Source organism: Homo sapiens, chromosome 14 (assembly GCF_000001405.40).
Source record: "Homo sapiens chromosome 14, GRCh38.p14 Primary Assembly".
NCBI lineage: Eukaryota > Metazoa > Chordata > Mammalia > Primates > Hominidae > Homo > Homo sapiens.
This window is the reverse complement of record NC_000014.9, coordinates 76,543,341-76,559,820: the sequence shown is the minus strand read 5'-3', so window position 1 is coordinate 76,559,820 and position 16,480 is coordinate 76,543,341. Positions and strand designations below refer to the sequence as shown.

At 45.2% G+C, this 16,480-nt stretch overlaps 4 annotated features.

Annotated features, from left to right (window-relative positions):
- Positions 7,441-7,952: an enhancer, noted in NCBI's record as "NANOG-H3K27ac hESC enhancer chr14:77018212-77018723 (GRCh37/hg19 assembly coordinates)". NCBI's record gives its function as "activates a minimal SCP1, AML or CMV promoter by ChIP-STARR-seq in primed H9 embryonic stem cells {active_cell/tissue: H9 hESC(primed)}" and the evidence as "EXISTENCE:reporter gene assay evidence [ECO:0000049][PMID:30033119]".
- Positions 7,953-8,465: an enhancer, noted in NCBI's record as "NANOG-H3K27ac hESC enhancer chr14:77017699-77018211 (GRCh37/hg19 assembly coordinates)". NCBI's record gives its function as "activates a minimal SCP1, AML or CMV promoter by ChIP-STARR-seq in naive and primed H9 embryonic stem cells {active_cell/tissue: H9 hESC(naive and primed)}" and the evidence as "EXISTENCE:reporter gene assay evidence [ECO:0000049][PMID:30033119]".
- Positions 8,466-8,978: an enhancer, noted in NCBI's record as "NANOG-H3K27ac hESC enhancer chr14:77017186-77017698 (GRCh37/hg19 assembly coordinates)". NCBI's record gives its function as "activates a minimal SCP1, AML or CMV promoter by ChIP-STARR-seq in naive H9 embryonic stem cells {active_cell/tissue: H9 hESC(naive)}" and the evidence as "EXISTENCE:reporter gene assay evidence [ECO:0000049][PMID:30033119]".
- Positions 13,328-13,827: an enhancer, noted in NCBI's record as "H3K4me1 hESC enhancer chr14:77012337-77012836 (GRCh37/hg19 assembly coordinates)". NCBI's record gives its function as "activates a minimal SCP1, AML or CMV promoter by ChIP-STARR-seq in naive H9 embryonic stem cells {active_cell/tissue: H9 hESC(naive)}" and the evidence as "EXISTENCE:reporter gene assay evidence [ECO:0000049][PMID:30033119]".

Here is a 16,480-nt window from a genome sequence, read left to right as displayed (position 1 = left end):
GTGGCGGTCACCTGTAAGCCCAGCTACTCGGGAACCTGAGGCAAGTGAATTGCTTGAACCCAGGAGGTGGAAGTTGCAGTGAGCCAAGATCATGCCATTGCACTCCAGCTTGGGTGACAGAGCAAGACTCTGTCTCAAAACAAAAACAAAAATAAACTATTATTTAATCTGTAATCTATATTCAAATTTCATCAATGGTCCCTAAAGCAAGTTTCTTTTATAGCTGGTTTTCCTCTTCAGTCCAGGGTCCAATCCAGGATAACCTGGGGGCATTCAGCTGTCATGCTTCTTTTGGTCTTCTTTGATCTGGACAGCTCTCCAGCTTTCCCTTGCATTTCTTGACCTTCACATTACCGTTTAAGAGAGCAGACCAGTTATTTTGTAGAACATCCCTCAGTTTGGGCTTGTCTGATGTTTTTCCATGATGAGATTCAGTTTGTGCATTTGGATAGGGACACTGTTCTTCTCAGTGCCTCACGTCAGGAGGCACAAGATGCCAATTTAACCCAATATTGGTGATATTAACTTTAATCATTTGGTAAAAGTAATATGTGCCAGATTTCTGCATTGTAAAGTTACTATGCTTCCCTCTGTGATGAATACATAATTTGTGTTAAGGTACTCTAAAACTGAAAATAGCCTGTTCCTCATCAAACTTTAACCCACTGGTTTTAGCATCCATTGATGATTTTTGAACTCCATCATTCCATCTGTCTATACTACTTGGCATTCAGCTGTAAGGAAGAACCATCCCTTTTCCCCTGTCTACTTATTTACTTATTTATTTATATCAGTATGGATTTGGGGATTCTTATTTTATTCAGTGAGTTATTATTCTTTACTATTATTACTCACTTTGATGCTCATATTCCCCAGATTTGGCCAAAGGGACTCCTTCAAGTGGATCCCTGTGTCCCTCATGCTTTGAGCACAACTTCCTGTCTGGCACAACCAGAGGTTTTGGCCTCCTCTTTGACTTTTCTTTTCCCAGACCTGGAATCAGCTTTTTCTCCAAGAAGCCTTCTGGAACTTATTTGATTTCTGTTTTCTGGAGAGCAGTGGAGGTCCCCGAAAGGACAGCTGCCATGTCTATCCTCCTCATCATGTGGCCTAGTTGGCATGCACTTCAAGTTCTCTCAGGGCCTATATAGTTTTATAATTTACAGTAATAATAATCTTACTTGTTATCTACATCATCTCCATGTTTACCTTCTTGTATTTACTTCTTTTTCATTAAAGATTCAACAATACATAGGCACATGCACAGTTATATATATATGTGTATATATGTATATAAATATATATATATTTAATTTTTTTTGAGACAGAGCCTCACTCTGTCACCCAGCAGGCTGGAATGCAGTGGCATGATCTCAGCTCACTGCAGCCTCCTCCTCCTGGGTTCAAGCGATTCCCCTGCCTCAGCCTCCTGAGTAGCTGGGATTACAGGTACAGGCCACCACGCCAGGCTAGTTTTTGTATTTTGGGTAGAGACAGGGTTTCACCATGTTGGCCAGGCTGGTCTCAAACTCCTGACCTCAGGTGATCTGCCTGCCTCGGCCTCCCAAAGTGCTGGGATTACAGGCGTGAGCCACCAAACCCAGCCACAGTTATAGAAAGTAAAAACTACAGACCATAATACTGGAAGAATGGACACCACAGGCTTAGCCAAGGCTTTCCCCAGAGAGCCAGATGAAGAAGCAGTCCAGAAGGGGTCAGGGTCTTGCTGCAACCTCCAACTCTATGCTCAAGCAATCCTCCTGCCTCAGCCTCCTGAGTAGCTGGGACTACAAGCATGCACTGCCACACCTGGCCTTTTTTTTTTTTAGTAGAGATGGGGGTCTTTCTATGTTGACCAGGGTAGTCTTGAACTCCTGGTCTCAAGCTATCCTCCCACCTCGGCCTTCCAAAGCGCTGGGATTATATGCGTGAGCTACCATACCCAGCCTACCACTCTCTTGTTTTTGCAAATAAAGCTTTCTTGAAATACAACCACACCTTTGGTTTACTTATTATGGCTGGTTGCTTTCACCCTGCAAAAGGAGAGGTGAGTAGTTGTAACAGAGATCATGTGGCCCACAAAACCTAAAATATTTACTATCTGGAGTTATATGGTAAAAGTTTGCCAATTTCTGGTTTAGATGAACAGATGCTGAGAACGCAAATTTATAAGGGGAGCTAAACAGTAATGAAATAAATGAGAAATGAGAAACCTGGTGCCTGTTAATTCTGGCTCCCACATACTATTTAGAATAGCCTTGCTCCTCACATGAGGTGAGTTTATAGAGTCGACAGGTAAAGCAAAAATCACACACACACACACATGCATTCTAGAAAGTCTCCTGAAAAGTTAGCATGTTAGAGACTGATATACCATTTCTCACCGAGATTCCTGCACAGTCAGTTTTAGCAGCATCTACAAATCTGTGTTGAGGGTTTCGACAATGTACACATGCTACTACTATAGGCAGCATCACCGCTCCTGAAAACAGCAGGCTCTAATCTGCTGTGTAATCAACTGCAATTTTGAAACCAAATCACATATGGGCTAGCAGTGTTTACAGGGGATAAATTATTAAAAACCCTAGAATAGCATTTTCCAGAAGCTCTCTCATTTGGAAAATTGCAGAAGAAAATTGAAGTGGGAAATGTTTTGCCAACATGAAAGCTAGAGGGAAAAAGACACCCAACTTTTAAACCTATTCAACATAGAGATATATAGAGATTTTATATATCTATATTCTTGGGAACTACCTCAATTATTAGTGAGTGCCATAAGTACCACCCAACTATGAGTGGTTAAAGAACTGATTGGAAAGACTGCTCCAAATGTACTTGACATGCTCTCCTGTAATGAATACAGCGATGAGGCACCATTTCATACCCACTAGATCGGCAAAAACCATAAGTTGGACAACACCCAGTGATGATCAGGATATGGAGACTTGAGAACGCTTACACATTGCTGGTGGGAGGGAAGTTGATAAAACCACTTTGAAGAGCAATTTGAGAGGGACTAGTAAAGGTAAAATGCGCCCACCCCACCACCCAGTAATTTAGCTTCTGTTTAGCTAACCTAGAACAGCAATTCTGAACATGTGACCCCCAACCCCAGGAGGATTTCTGAGATGCTTCCAAGGACACCTGCAAGGTCAAAACTATTTTCAGAACAAAACTAGGAAACCAAGTGTGCTGGCTCACACCTGTAATCCCAGCACTTTGGGAAGCTGTGGCAGGAAGAGGATTGCTTGAGGTCAGGAGTTCGAGACCAGCCTAGCCAACATAGCGAGACCCCTGTCTCTCTCTATATAAATAAATAAATAAAAGAACAAACACTAAGATGTTATTTGTCTTTTCTGCTGTGACAACATTTGCACTGATGACGTTCAAGTGATAGTGCCTTAGCATGCAGCAAGGCAGTGGCCTTAACCTGCACCAATTGTCACTGTCATGCCCTTCAGTAAACAAAACAAAGACAAAAACCAGTTTTACTGAAGGATGTTCTTGATGGAGCAGTAGAATTTTTAAAATGTAGAAATCTCGACCCTGGTTACTTATTTTGAATGTTCTGCATGAGGAAATGGGAATTGCACGTAAACCCCTTCTGCTGAATACTCAAGAGGAAAGCACACGGGGGAATGTGTGTGTTGAAAGATGAACTAGCCCAGCGCGCTGGCTCACGCCTGCAATCCCAGCAATTTGGGAGGCCGAGGCAGGTGGATCACGAGGTCAAAAGTTCGAGACCAGCCTGGCCAACATGGTGAAACCTGGTCTTTACTAAAAATACAAAACTTAGCTGGGCATGATGGCACCCACCCGTAGTCCTAGCTACTCGGGAAGCTGAGGCAGGAGAATCACTTGAGCCTGGAAATCGGAGGTTGCAGTGAGCCAAGATCGTGCCACTGCACTCCAGCCTGGCGACAGAACGAGACTCTGTCTCAAAAAATAAAAAAAAGAAAGATGAACTGGCCACTTTTTTCACAGAACGTTATTTTTTCTTGAAAGAACAATGGACATACCGTGGTTATTCAAATTGGGGTATTTGGGAGATATTTTCTGAGAAAGGAAGAGAGCTTGTCAATTCAATGACAAAATTTGAGCTTTCAAATTGTGGGAAACTTGGACCTGCTGCCTCGTGAGCTTGACAGCTTCTCAATAGCTAAAGTTCTCCTGATAAAATCAAAGGTGCTATCAGGTAAGGCTGGCATGGTGGCTCACATCTGCAATCCCAGCACTCTGGGAGGCCAAGGCAGACCAGCCTGGGCAAAATGGTGAAACCCGTCTCTACTAAAAATACAAAAAATTAGCTGGGTGTGGTGGTGCACACCTGTGGTCCCAGCTACTTGGGAGGCTGAGGCAGGAGAATCGCTTGAGCCAGGAGGTGGAGGTTGCAGTGAGCTGAGATCCCGCCACTGAACTCCAGCCTAGGTGACAGAGTGAAACTCTGTCTTAAAAAAAATTAAAATTTTTTTTAAAAGGTGATGTTAGTGAATGCATTTTTTGTGTGTGTGATATTGTGTAGTAAAGTGTGCCAGCATCTGACAGATTTGCAGGACTGGGTGAACTAATATTTTCCAAATGATCAATGTAGGATGTTACAAAAATCACAGGTAAAAGATCTTTTCAAGGTACAAGATAGATCAATGCCTTTTAACGTAATAGAGCACAAAATGAGCACTAATATGGTTTCACATGTTACACTGCAACCAATCTTTAAGAAACTACCACTTGTTAAGTGAGTATTATCAAAAAATATCCACAATGATCTGAAAAGACTCTTAAGTTGCTTCTCTCCTTTCCAACTATGTAGCTTTGTGAGGCCAAATTTTCTTCATAGGCTTCGGCCAAAACAACATAGCACAGTAAACAGAGAGCTTTGTGAAAATGAAGAACAACACTGCTACCACTTATCTTACTAAATTTTTTTATTTTAAAGAAGTTACTTTTCATAACAATATGTTATTTATATTGACATGAAATAGATGTGTTGTTATTTCAAATAAATGAATAAAATTTTTAAAATTCTCAGTTGTAATTTCTAAACTGTTAACTATGGTATTTGTTGATAGATATAACTCCCTTCAACGAAAGTTCTTTGTGGCCTTCATTAATTGTTAAGAGTGTAAGGGAAGACCAGGTGTGGTGGCTCACACCTATAATCCCAGCACTTTGGGAGCCCAAGGCAGGCGGATCACCTGAGGTCAGGAGTTCAAGACCAACCTGGGCAACATGGCGAAACCCCATCTCTACTAAAAATACAAAAAATTAGCTAGATGTGGTGGAGGGCATTTGTAATCCCAGCTACTCCGGAGGTTGAGGCAGGAGAATGGATTGAACCCGGGAGGCAGAGGTTGCAGTGAGCTGAGATAGCATTCCAGCCTGGGCAACAAGAGTGAACTCGGTCTCAAAAAAAAAAAAAGAATGTAAAGGAATCCTGACATCAAAAGGTTTGATGAGTGCTGCCATAGAAATCAAACTCTCCCACAAATTCACAGGGAGATCTGCAGGAAACTCACCAGGACATTGTTTGAAATAATGGAAAAATGAGAGTAGAACTGTCCTGCAGTAGAAGAAAGGATTGATAAGCTGTAATTTAGTCATATAATGTCATAATAATTCACAACTGAAATAAATAAATCTATATGCATAAATATAAATAAATTTTTAAAAATCACAAGATTTAAAAAGTAAATTGCAAGAGACTATAATTTGATGCTATTTATATTAATATTAATTAATAAATTCATTTAATTGCATGACTGAAATTATTTATGGATATATGCACATATAATAAATATATTAAAACATGCCTGGAAATGATTGTTAACACCTTCAAGATAGTGATTTCTTTTTTTTTTTTTTTTTGAGACAGAGTCTCACTCTGTCATGCAGGCCGGAGTGCAGTGGTGTGATCTCGGCTCACTGTAACGTCTGCCTCCTGGGTTCAAGCGATTCTCCTGCCTCAGTCTCCCGAGTAGCTGAGATTACAGGCACCCACCACCACACCCAGCAAATTTTTCTATTTTTAATGGACACGAGGTTTCACCATGTTGGCCAGGCTGGTCACAACTCCTGACCTCAAGTGATCTGCCCGCCTCAGCCTCCCAAATTGCTGGGATTATAGGCGTGAGCCACCGCGCCTGGCAGATAGTGATTTCTTTCAGGACAAGTAGGCAAGAAAAATGTAAGAGAATATGGCTTAGACTATTTAAGTAGATTTACAACATTTCTTTTCTTTTCTTTTTTTTTTTTTTTTTTTTGAGACAGGGTCTAGCTCTGTTGCCCAGGCTGGAGTGCAGTGGTGCCATCATGGCTCACTGCAGTTGAACCTTCTCGGGCTCAAGCAATCCTCCCAGCTCAGTCTCTGAGTACCTGGGACTACAGGTACGTGGCACCACGCCCAGCTAATTTTTAATTTTTCATAGGGACGGGGTTTCACCATGTTGCCCGGACTGGTCTCAAACTTCTGGGCTCAAGCAATCCTCTTGTCTCAGCCTCCCAAAGTGCTGGAATTACAGGCATGAGCCACTGCACCCGGCCCCACAACATTTCTTAAAAACTAAACACCTAAAGTAAGTTAACGTAGGTACATAGGAATTTGTTTATATTGTTTTCTATAACCTTCCATATATTTCAATTATTTTGTAATTGAAAACAAAACATCTTCAGTGCTTGCTTATAAATTGCTTATTTTGAAACAGAGGATATACTGTTTTTGTTTTTGTTCAGTAAGTATCAGTTTCTCTCCACTCCCAATAAAGAAATATTGAATGTGTGCTTGAAGAATACCAGTGTAACCTGTTAATTCTTACTCTGCCTGGGATGCCCCGACATTTTCCTCTGGCCTTGTGATTAGGAAGTAGAATGTAGAGGAAGAATTTCAGTTTCTCTGTATTGTTTTAGTTTTTTTAGTACAATAAGTTTTATTCAGGAAAAAAAATTAACTAAGTGTCCATTGTGAAAATAGCAAAAAGTTATGTTCTTTTGCTTTCACATTTAGATAATGTTGGGACCACACTCTTCATCCCGCCATGTAAGCTGTTTTTTTCATATAACCTTTATTTTTCAATGTCATTAGTTAATCTTTGATACTGCTATTTTCATGGCTGCCTAAATCCCATTTTACAAGGTGCCATAAGTGCTAACAAATCTTTCTTTTATTTTTAGTCGCTTTGGCTGCTTCTAGTTTGGTCGTTTTGTTGTTATAAACAAAACTGTGATGAACGTCTTTGTACATCGTCTTCATCTTCACTTTTTACTATTTCCTGAAATCTTATTGTTACTCCCCTTGGGCAAAGAATTCAGCCTTCCTGAGCCCCAGGCAGGACCAAAGTGTTTCTTAGCAAGGGGTGATATATATTCCCCCAGGACACTTGGCAATGTCTGGAGACATTTTGGGTTGTCACACTGGAGGATGGAGGGGCAGGTGTTACTACTGGCATGCAGTGGATAGAGTCCAGAGATGCTGCTAAACATCCTACCATACACAGGACCTCCCAGAACAAAGAATTATCTGACCCAGAATGGCAACAGTACTGAGGTTGACAAATCCTGCAATAGAATCATCACTAAAGTTCCTTCCTGCCCTGGAAATTACCGGGGACTTCTGGAAGTACTCATTGTCTGAAAGGGGATGGAGGATGTGTCCTCACCAAGGATTAAGAGCTCTTGAGGTACATGGGCCTGGGGCATTTCCCAAACCGCTCTGACTCCTGCAGTCACCTCGGGCCTTTGTTAAACAAAAACTCTCCCTGGAGTGTCTGGGTTGTGGTGGCTCACATGCCTGTAATCCTAGCACTTTGGGAGGCCCAGGAGGGTGGATTGCCTGAGCTCGGGAGTTGGAGACCAGTCTGGGCAACATGGTGAAACCCTGTCTCTATTAAAAATATAAAAATTAGCCAGGAGTGGTGGCACCTGCCTGTAATCCCAGCTACTGGGGAGGCTGAGGCATGAGAATCACTTGAACCTGGGAGGTGGAGGTTGCGGTGAGCCAAGATCGAGCCACTGCACTCCAGCCTGGGCAACAGAGTAAGACTCTGTCTCAAATAAATAAATAAATAAATATAAAATAAAAAATAAAAATTCAGGATGGTATCCCAGGATTCTGTGCCTTTACCAAGTGCCCCAGGTGAATCTAAGGCAGGCCCTGGTTAGCGCTATGGCTCCCACTTGCCTGATCTTCAAAATCTCTTGGGAGCGGGGGTATTTCTAAAGCAAGGTTTGGAGTGACGTAAAAGAATCTGCATTGTTTTATTTTGGTTTGTTGGTTTGTTTTAAGCTCCAAAGGTGATTCTGATGAATCCAGCTTAGAAGCTTACATCAGCTTTGGAGGAGATCTGTGGGAGTTACCTGGGCGCCCCATTCACTCATTCATTCCTTCATTTATTTACAAGGTGATAGGATTAAAGAGATGACTTAGACATAGTGTCTGCTGTCAAGGACTCAAGATCTAATGGAGACATGGACCCATTAGCAGCTCGTTTACAATTCAACTGCCTGTGACAAAAGCAGGAACAAAATTTTTTGAGAGCACAGAGGAGGGAGGGGCCCACTGTTTCTGAGGGCTTCATGGAGGAGGCTGATCTTTGCAGTGGGTCTTAAAGGAACAAAAGGGAGATTTGAGGAGGAATCCTGTATTCTTGAGGGCAGAAACAGTGGAAAGAGGCCACAGGGCCACAAAAGCAGGGGAGAGAACTTGGCCCCTCTCGCACAGTTGGCATTTTCAAGAGAATCTGAAACTGGACAATGCAAATGGTAGGAAGTCTCACTTGTGCAAAAGTTTTGAAAGGAGGCAGATCCTACTTTATATCTATTCCTGGGGGAAAACTTGTCATGAATTCTGTGAGTTTGAAATTAGAAGCAGTTTGCAAGAATGCGGCACTCACATAAAAACGGGCCTGCCCAGAACTGAGCACCTACTGCATGCCAGGACCTGTGCTCTGGGATCCGAGGAGGCATAAGGCCCAGCCCCACCCTGGTGAGCTCACAGCCAGGTGGACATACATCCCCTGTCCTCCTCCTTTCCCACTCCTGCCTCTGATCTGAGTCAGGCTGGGAAAAGGGCAGCAGGAGGAAACCACCAGGAGTCTACCAAAGAGAGGCAGGAATGGGGTAGGCTGGACTGGGGCTAGATGGAGAGTGTGGTTTACCCAGGGACTTACAGTATCTTACAGCATCTGAAAGAGGGGTGGAGCTCCCTAGGGCAGAGGAGCTACAGTAGCCTGCTGCTGGAAGGCACAATTGTTCATTTCCTGTCCAAGGCTTGGCAATACCATTGCTCTTGTCCTCTGAGCACCACCTTTTTGTTGCTTAATTCAGTCAGTAGATAACTTTTTGAGCAGCTACTACACAGAGCCCTGTTCTATGCACAAGGGCCATATCAGTGAACAAAAGAGGTCCAAATCCCTGCCCTCAAGAACTTATATTTGTGTAGGAGGAGTTAGACCATAAAGAAAATAAATAGGTATAAAAGAATTAATTGGGCCAGGCGTGGTGACTCATGTCTGTAATCCCAGCACTTTGGGAGGCTGAGGTGGGCGGATCACCTGAGGTCAGGAGTTTGAGACCAGCCTGGCCAACATGATAAAACTCCATCTCTACTAAAAATACAACAATTAGCTGCGTGTGGTGGTGGGCGCCTGTAATCCCAGCTACTTGGGAGGCTTAGGCAGGAGAATCGCTTGAACCCAGGAGGCGGAGGTTGCAGTGAGCCAAGATCACACCACTGCACTCCAGCCTGGTTGACAGAGCAAGACTCCATCTCAAAAAAAAAAAAAAAAGAAAAAAGGAAAAAAAGAATCAATTGGGAGGCCATTAGGCTGAGATAGCTCCAAAGTGCCTTGGGTTCCTAAGTAAACAACTGAAACCCAACTCAAAGGGCCATAGCCCAAGAAAACACAAGTGAATAGACTAGGTACAGTGGCTCATGCCAGTAATCCTAGCACTCTGGGAGGCTGAGGCAGGAGGATCTTCTGAGGCCAGTTCAGGACCAGCCTGGACAACATAGTGAGACCCAGTCTCTACAAAAAAATAAAAATAAAAAATTTAAACATTAATAAAAAGAAAACACAAGCTTAACCAATCAGAAACTGCCAACAAACCTCTAACTAGAGAGTTTCACAATCAGAAACCAACTAATCTCTGAGATTTTCCACTTTAGTCATTCAAATCTTTTCTGTCCTGCTTCTGCAAATACTTTATAAAAGTTTTCACCTGGCTGGGCGCGATGGCTCACGCCTGTAATCCCAGCACTTTGGGAGGCTGAGGCGGGCAGATTATGAGGTCAGGAGTTCAACACCAGCCTGACCAACAAGGTGAAACCCCTTCTCTACTAAAAATACAAAATTAGCTGGGTGTGATGGCGGGCACCTGTAATCCCAGCTACTCAGGAGGCTGAGACAGGAGAATTGCTTGAACCTGGGAGGCAGAGGGTGCAGTGAGCCGAGATCACGCCACTGTACTCCAGCCTGGGTAACAGAGTGAGTCTCTGTCTCAAAAAAAAAAAAAAAAAAAAAAAACACAAAAGTTTTCACCTTGCACCCCCTCAGTGGAGCCCTGAACCACTTGGGGTCTAACGCAGACTGACTCATGAATCGCTGTTTGCTTCAATAAACTCTTTAAAATTGTAATGTGCCTGTTTGTCTTTTAGTACAGGCAGTTTCTACAGTGTAGTAGAAGGAGAAAAAGAAAGCCCAGGTGGGACAGGGGATGCTGGCTGGGGTGTGTGTGTGTGTGTGTGTGTGTGTGTGTGTGTGTGTGTGTATATACTTAGCTGCACAAATTAGGGAAAGCCTCACTCAGAAGATGACACTTGAGGATTTCTTTAAATCTCATGCAACTGTCTCCAGTCATATTTACACGTGTATGTTTGCATGAAGAGTTTTTTTGTTTTTGTTTTTGTTTTTGAGACAGAGTCTCACTTTGTCACCCCAGGTGGAGTGCAGTGGCACGATCTCAGCTTACTACAACCTCTGCCTCCTGGGTTCAAGCGATTCTCCTGCCGAGGCCTCCCAAGCAGCTGGCACTATAGGCATGTGCCAGAATGCCCGGCTAATTTTTGTATTTTTAGTAGAGACGGGGTTTCACCACGTTGACCAGGCTGGTTTCAAACTCCTGACCTCAGGTGATCCATCCGCCTCGGCCTCCCAAAGTGCTGGGATTACAGGTGTGAGTCACCATGCCTGGCCTGAAAGAGTATTTTCTCAGCAAGATTAGAAACTCCTCTAGAGGCAGAAACCATCTTGCCTGCCTCTTCCATTGTGTAGCAGAGTTGGGCTCCTCGTGAATATTTAAAAACATTTTCTGGATGAATGAATGAAAAAGAAATGAATGAATAAATAAAAATGGAATGAATGAAGAAAAAAAAAGTCTTGCCATCTTGAAATTGGGTGTCTCATCCCGCTGTTCCAGAATCTTTGCATTCGCTGCCCTGGCCCAGCCAGAGACCCTCCCTTTTACAGTGGGAAAAAACAAATGCATCTTGGGAAGAGGAAAACCCAGGGTGGGATGGGGCAGGAAGGGTTGGGCAGGGAGGGGAGGGGTGAGGTGGAGGACGTAGAGAGGAGAAGGAAGAGCAAGAAGAACCAGAAGGGGAGAAAACAAAAGATCAATAAGACCAGCCAGGAGGTGACAGCAGCCAGCCAGGGAGCACTCGTCCCTTGATTAGAATTCATGAACTCCCTTCTTACATTAAGTCTTTATATGACACCTGGCCTTTGATGCAAAGCTGGCTGCGAACATTAAAAATTAAAAGCCGAAGGTAGGCTACATCCATCTCTGATAGCTCAGCTCCCCTCCTATCTGAGGCCTGCACAAAGCTATTACACATTGATAAATTATTTTGGGTAATAGCCGAGATATTACATTGTTTCTGAGTGAAGCTAAAATCTCTCCCTGACACGGGCATTTATCAGGAGTGCCTTTCATCCTATTTATTATGGGCCAGATGAGCGTGGGGCTGTGGCCGGCTGGGGTGCTGGGCTGGGACCGTTTTCCCCCATCCCCTCCCTCTCCCTCTATCACTCCCTTGATGGGGTATTGATGGGGTTTGTGACAAGTTAATTATTAGCTAAAGATACGCAGATCACCGTAAAAGGGTCGGGCACCTGGGGAAGAGAGAAGTTCGGTTATTGAACAGTCAGATCCCTTCCAGGCCTGTTGTGCAGAAGCCTTAGTTCCAGGCCTGGGCCTGGTCCCACTTGGTAACCCTGAGTCCAGCCAATCAGAATTGCTGAAAGCCAGGCAGCCAGGCCCCACTCCGTGGTGTGTGCCTGTAATTCTGTAATCCCAGGTACTCAGGAGGCTGAGGTAAGAGGGTCGCTTGAACCCAGGAGTTTGAGACCAGTTGGGGCAACATAGTGAGACTCCATCTCTAAAAAAAAAAAAAAAAAAAAAAAAAAAAAAAAAAAATTATTTATAAAAAATGTCATTCGAGTTGATAAAAAAAGAATTGCTGAATATTTGTTCCATAAAAGGGTAGGGGTTAGGGGGCTTGGAGGGCTTAACCGCGCATACCAGCAACACACCCAGCAAAGGTGCATCCAGATCCTTAGTCTGCACTAGAAGCACGGCCTCCTGCTGCAGAGCCCAACACTGGTAATGTCTGCTCCTTCTGCCCTTCCTTCTCCTTCTCCAGCCTGCACACAATCACCCCAAACTCCGTGACAGTGTCCTCTGTACTGATGGTGTAAGGGAAAGAGGCAGCCTTTGGAACCTGGGTGTGCTCATTGGCTACTCGCTGAAACTGTCTCCATTTCCTCTTCATGTGATGGGGTGTGATGATAATGTCAGCCTCTAGGGGTCGCTGTTATAAAGTGTTTCCTCAGGATTGGCTGGGCATCCCTGTGGAGGCTCCTGGGTGGAGTGGGAGACTGGATTGACACGTGTGCACAGATGGAATGCCATGGAGTAGTAGCAGCTGTCAGGATTGGCTGCTTGGCGTGGGCTACTCAGGGGTCATCCATCCACAATCCCTTTTGGAAGAAGCATTCCTTCCAGAAATATTACAGACTGCCTTCTATCTTCTAGGCATGGTGCTAAGGGCTGAGTAGAGAATAATGAACGTAACAGATCTGGTTCCTGTTCCCCACCTGGGCACAGTCTAATGGAATGGGCCTCCTGTCCCCAAAAGAGAATCAAGTGCTCTGTATGATTTTTGTCCCCGGGGGTAGGTTCACTCATGGTAGGTCCAGCCCCGGATCTGAGTCATCTCCCACTCCCATGGAGTATTTGGCACATAGTGGGTGTCAACTAATATTTTTGGAATGAATGGATGGATGTTGGAATTAGGCAGTGTTGAGCCGCAGGTGGACAGGTGTATGCTTGCTGAGCCTCACGGAGGCTGGAGGTATGATTAGGGCCTTCTTTCTAGGAAAGAAAGGCTGTTGGCTTAGCTTGGGGGAACTGTCCATCTCCAAGCTCCAGCCAGGTAAAGAGACAACCCAGCAAAAAGGAAAGAAGTGTCCATTGTCACTGGATGTAAGCTAGGCAATGAAGTTCCCCATTGTTGCTGGCAGAGCCAGAGTGACTGTTCTCTTTTCTGGCATTTTTGCTTAATGACCAGACATCTGCAGAACCTGCCAACCAGCAGGAGGTGGAGGGGAAGGTCACCCCAGAGCATACCCCAACCCCGGACCCAGCTTCCTACTCTATGTGGGAGGTGGCCCAGAGTGGAGGGCAGGCAGGTGCTGGAGGAATCCTGGGAAGGGTTGGGCTCAGGTGTCATGCAGTCATGCTACATAAATCTGGCTGGCCATGTCTCTAGTCTGCACCCCTCTAGGGGCCCTCCCGAACTTGGGTGGGGCCTACTGCCTCTCAATTCTGGCTTCAGCCTTGGCTGCTGTCTTTCTAGTCTCCCGACTGCATCTCTGCCAACCAGGACCAGCCCTGCCCCACCCTGTCCCCAACCCTGCTTCCCAACGCCCAGCAAGGACGTCTGGACCTTGATGATGGGCATGGGACTTGGGCATCTCTGAGAGTGCCGGCCCCTGATTGGCTATGTTGTGGATTCAGCTGTCGGGCTGACTCAGCTCCTTCTTGATGGAGTGTTTTCTTGTTAAAAGAAGCATGAGTCTAAAACAGTAATTCCCAGACTCTGTGTGGGCTGTTCCCTTCTCCAGCCATCGCTGTCCACTGCTGAGAGTGGGCCTTGTTCAGCAAGTGTGATGAGGCAGATTAAAGACCAAGACCCTACTTTAAAAAGTTCAATATATACCCAGGAAGCAGAAGTTGCAGTGAGCCGAGATCGCACCATTGCACCCCTGCCTGGGCAACAGAGCAAGACTCCATCTCAATAAATAAATACATACGTACATACATACATTTTTAAAAAAAGTTTAATATATAAAACAAAATGAAAGGCCAACCGGGAAAGACCTTCTAGGATTAGCTCAATGACAGAGTGGTACACAATAATGATGACGATGATGATGATGACGATAGCAGCTAACACCTACTGAGTGTTCGCCATGTGCCAGGTACTATAATAAGCAATTTGTATTCAGTCTTGCATTTAATCCTCATAAAAACCCAGGAAGTTGGTATTACAGAGGCTCAGAGAGATCCGCAGTGAGGGTAGAGATGGGATTTGACCCTGGGTCTAACTCTACACCAAATGCTCTTAACTATTCACTGGAAAGGATATTTGTTGTTATTGTTGTTGTTGCTGTTTTTGAGATGTCACCCAGGCTGGAGTGCAGTGGTGCGATCTTGGCTCACTGCAACCTCTGCCTCCCAGGTTCAAGCGATTCTCCTGTCTCAGCCTCCTGAGTAGCTGGGGCTACAGGTGCACGCCGCCACGCCTGGCTAATTTTTTGTATTTTAGTAGAGGTGGGGTTTCACCGTGTTGCCCAGACTGATTTTGAATTCTTGAGCTCAGGCAATCCACCCATCTCGGCCTCCCAAAGTGCTAGGATTACAGGCGTGAGCAACCACGCTTGGCCTGTTGTTGTTGTTTTTGAGACGGAGTCTCGCTCTGTTGCCCTGGCTGGACTGCAGTGGTGCCATCTCTGTTCACTGCAACCTCCGCCTCCTGGGTTCAAGAAATTCTCGTGCCTCAGCCTCCCGAGTAGCTGGGATTACAGGCTCCTGCCACCATACCCGGCTGATTTTTGAGATTCTAGTAGAGAGGGGGTTTCACCATGTTGGCTAGGCTGGCCTTGAGCTCCTAACCTCAAGTGATCCGCCTGTCTCCACCTCCCAAAGTGCTGGGACTACAGGCATGAACCACCACACCTGGCCACTGGAAAGGATCTTAGTGACCAGCCACTCTATCTCTTCATTTTCTGTAGGAGGAAACTGAGGTCCAAAGAGGGAAACCTGTCACCTAGAATCAGTGGCAAAGCTGCAACTGGGTTCTAAGTGTCCTAATTCCAAATCTAAAGCTTTTCTCTGTGAACTAGAAACACAGCTCTCCTTTCCTCCCTCCTGTCCCTCCAAGGCCGAGGGAGATCATAAAGGCAGGGAGAAAGGGAACCCAGGGCCAGAAGAGCCGGGATCTGGATGTGAGCGAAACGATGCCAAACACATAGGCATAGGCTTGAGCCCCAGGGAGCTCAGGGGGGCTGGTTTTAAAGATAGGAGCAGGGGTCCGGAGCCAGCAGAGCAGCTGGAGATGGGGCACATGCAGGTTCCTGAGGGTCATGGTGGGTCAGGATCCAGAAAAGCAACGAAGACCACAACTAGGGGGCCTTGGTGTTTAGAAAACTTTGAAAAGAAGCTGAAGAACCAGGCATCTGCGGAGGCAGGAAAGACCCCAGGGCCTGAGACAGAGCCACCCAAGGAATGCAAGAGACCTAGGCAGGTGCTGGCAGCAAGCAAACAGAAATCGAGGGGGCATCGTGAGGCCCAGGGGTGAGATGAGTGTCCTTATGACCGACAGCAGAAAAAAATAGAGGCAGCCAAGCTGGAGGGACGGGGGCACTAACAAGACATGAGGACCTGGGGCCACTGCCTTGCACAACCTGCCCGAGTGTCTGCAGCAACCTGACTGAGAGCCAGCGGCCTGCCCTGGGGTGGTTTCTTGGTTCAGAGTTGATGGTGGGGGAAGGAAACAGAGGTCAAGAGTATCTTAGAAGTTTTTTCCAAGCATTTAATAAATATTTTTCCTTTGTGATAGTCACAAGTAACTTCTGTGAATATTTAAATTGTTTTAATAACTTTTTTTTTTTTTTTTGAGATGGAGTCTTGCTCTGTTGCCCAGGCTGGAGTGCAGTGGCATAATCTCGGCTCACTGCAACCTCTGCCTCCTGGGTTCAAGTGACTCTCATGTCTCAGCCTCCGAGTAGCTGGGATTATAGGCATGTGACACCATGCCTGCCTAATTTTTGCATTTTAGTAGAGACGGGGTTTCGTCATGTTGGTCAGGCTGGTCTCAAACTTGCCTCGGCCTTCCAGACTGCTGGGATTATAGGCATAAACCACCGTGCCCGGCCTGTTTTAATCACTTTTTCATCAGCCTTCTTCTTAAGGGAAATTTGTGTTG